This window comes from Homo sapiens, chromosome 6 (assembly GCF_000001405.40).
Source record: "Homo sapiens chromosome 6, GRCh38.p14 Primary Assembly".
Classification (NCBI taxonomy): Eukaryota; Metazoa; Chordata; class Mammalia; order Primates; family Hominidae; genus Homo; species Homo sapiens.
Window position 1 is genome coordinate 92292460 of NC_000006.12, and position 3504 is coordinate 92295963.

Here is a 3504-nt window from a genome sequence, read left to right on the forward strand (position 1 = left end):
TACAGCTCTTAATTCTTTTAGCAATTGTTTCTGAGAGGCATTTGGATGGAAGGGAAGTATATTTGTGATAGAACACAAATATCAAAGATGTATAAGCAAAGTTCAACCTTATTAAATTATTCAAATCCTCTGTATCTTTACTTTTATCCATTTAATCTATTATGCTCAAAGACCAATAGTTCTGTGTTTAAATCTCCCTATACATTTATGTATTTGTTCATTTCTCTTTGAATTTCCAGCTGTTTTAAAAATAGATGTTATTACCATATATTTAAATATACAGAGAATCTTGATTCATAAATCCTTATTATGAATATTAGTTTGACTTTTTCTCACCTTCTTATTTCCATTTATTTCTCATGGATATGTAATTTCTTTAGGTATCAATATTTATATTCCTTTCTTTTTTTTCCTCTCTTGACTTCTGTGTATTTTTCCATACTCTTATTCTTAATTTTTAGCATATTTCATCTGTAGATTTGTCTCTTGTAAGTAGCATGCAATCCAAGATCCTTTGCTTCTTTTAACAATAATAAAAACAACAAATACTTACATAAGGTTTCTATATGTGGGTGCCATTCCAAAGCTGTTTTTTATTTATTCTAATTGAATCACCAGGAACCTATGGATGGGTATATTATAATCCTTTTACAGGTGAGGAAACCAAATTACAGAATTTAAAACAATGTCAAACACCAGCAAGCATTAGAACACCTTTGAACCCTCAGGTTGTCTGACTCCAGTGTTCTTAGCTATTATACAATATGTCTGGTCAGAATCAAAAATTTAAATCAATGGATGTCATAGCTGATACATGTGGTCTTTTATCAATTATATTGTTTTGGCTTTTCTTTCAGTGACCATAGACAAAAAAGGTATTATATTTTAGCTTCTGCTATTTAAGAGAACTTTGATGTGTTCTTATTCTAACTTTCTCAATTTAGACAGTATTAATTTAATTTGGGTTTCTAGGAGCAGGGAGTAATTATATTCAATATATTAAATATAATATTTAAATTATATTATTTCTTTCAGTAATTCTTTTTTGTTTGCTTTGGTTTTCCTCAGTTAAGATTTTCACCTATCCAAAAGACCTATATATACGTATTTCTAGTGTTCATCTCCTATGTATTCTTTAGGATTGTTAGTGTTATTCTAATATAATTTTCAGTGTTATTTTATTTTTCTTATAGGTTGATTATTTATATAAACATATATTGTCTCTACCTGTATGTCTATGTCTACATATATGTGTAATATAATTGGAAAATAATATTTTCATTACTTATATATTTAATAATGAATTCTCATTGGCCTTTACATAAACTATATGAGAATTAATATAGAATTTTCAGATTATAAACACATTTTTTTCAAAATTCTATGTTTCTCAAAACCAATATCTTTTCACTCAGCATTTACTTTTCAAAAGGGAAAGTCTAGCACAGGTCAAGTTTTTATTTGTATGCACTCTGGATTTCAAATTTTAGGCAGGTAAGGTTTACCTTACTTTTTCAAGTACATGAAAAGTTATGGGTTATTTTTTAATTATATTAGAAAAACTATGAATTTTGATGAATAAAAATGTTGTTTCCTTTTTCATGTCAGGAGATTTTTTCATACTTCAATTTATTCTGGATTCTTTTTTAATGACCATTTTAAGGACTTTTCCTTGTTTTTCTTATTTATTGAAGCTTTATCATTTCTTAATAGCACTCAAATAGGGTGTATGTTCTTAGGTGCATATATGGAATATGCATAGATTTATATATATATACACATACAGATTTTTATATATATATACATATATATTTATATATACACATACAAAATATATCCGTAACTTGTACCCATAAATTTGTAAGTTAGCTGTGGCTCTTGATCCAAAATTTGACTCTAATGAATCTGTTACTAGAAATGCACATTTCATGAACATTGCAGATTGCATATTCTAACAGATTTGACTAGTTAGGTCAACACATGTTTATTCAGAATGAAGTAATAATGGATTATAAGCCATATGTAAATATTGACAGTGATCTCTACAATAGACATTAGTAAGCTACCTGGTTATACAAAGAATCAGGGTCAGCTCAGTTATCTACTTCTTTTCTCCTCAAATGCAAGACAGTAGCTAGTCCTCAGAGGTATTATTTATAACAATAAAATTATAGATCTTCTAAGACCAAAACTATAATTATTTGTTCAGATGTGGGTTCATCTTTTCTTCCTACTTTCTATCTAATGTAAAGCATACGTGTCTAGAGCGAAGACTCTGATGAAACCTTTAAATTTTCTTTTTACTACGTTAAGGCTTGTATACATTGAATCTTATTATCATTTTGTTCTGCAAAATGAGTAGCCCACTTCTGAATTTTAGAAGAAAAATCTAGAATATTCTCTGAAATTATTATACTTCTTAAATGCAACCATTGTGCACTACTAAAATTTTTTTTCTGACACATAGCGGTGAGAATCTCAAATCTTGCTCTAATATTTGAAATTACTTTTTCAGCTCTTGAAATAACACATGGAAGTTAAAAATACAGAGATCAATATATAGGAAAACTGTCATAGATCAATATATAGGAAAACATTAATATAGCATGATTGTTTATAATATGTATGCTTAGATTTCAATTTATACCAAGTTGCAAATAAAAATCTGCAGTGAATGCAGATCTTGAATAAAATGCTGATTGAACTCAGTAGATAGCTCTTGTGCTTTTAATGTTGTTTACTATGCCATGTTATATATATATGTTGAGCCATAAAAATGATTGGGTACAATATTACATAAAAGAGACTTAATCAAGAGCTAAACATTTAGTGTAATATAATTTTCATATGCATATAAATTAATGCCTAAGAGACTAAAATATAATTGAATATATAAAATGTAGTGGGCTTTAGTTGAAAAATAACATTATACTTCTGAAAAATACTATTGTTTCACTAGGATAAATCCTTAAAAATAGATTACTGCTCAATGTGTGCCCTGTGCAACAATCACTGGTGTAGGTGTAAACTTATGTAACCTTTGAAACTTGTATATACAAAGCTGTGCTCTATATTTTCTAAGTAATCTTGAAATTTTTCTTAATATTCGATACGATACATGTTATACGTTTGATACCTGTATGTTCTGAAACCCTCGATTAACCCTCACTGCTTTCAGGAAGCTGCCCATTATTATTCACTGTCATCTTGTACATCTGAACAATACCAGTTGCACGTTCCCAACAATTTAGCATAAAATAATACAGTAGTGCAGCAACAGCAATACATACAGTTAACTAATAAAAACTTCATTAATAATTTGGATAATTTGTAATTTTTGGGCAAAAAGTTGAATATATGTGTAAAAGAATGATTATAATGATGAATCTAGGAAAGCAATATAATCTGGAGGAAAATAATTTAAAATGAAATTTACTGGAGTCAATTGATTTGAGCTCTGAAATAAAAAGATTATTGCAGAGGAACATTGAGCAAATGAGCAAG

General features: G+C 28.1%; 1 annotated feature.

Moving 5' to 3' along the window:
• Positions 2142-2311: an enhancer, noted in NCBI's record as "experimental_96858 CRE fragment used in MPRA reporter constructs". NCBI's record gives its function as "activates a minimal promoter by MPRAs in K562 erythroleukemia cells, with activity observed for the introgressed 6:93004404 variant allele {active_cell/tissue: K562}" and the evidence as "EXISTENCE:reporter gene assay evidence [ECO:0000049][PMID:34662402]".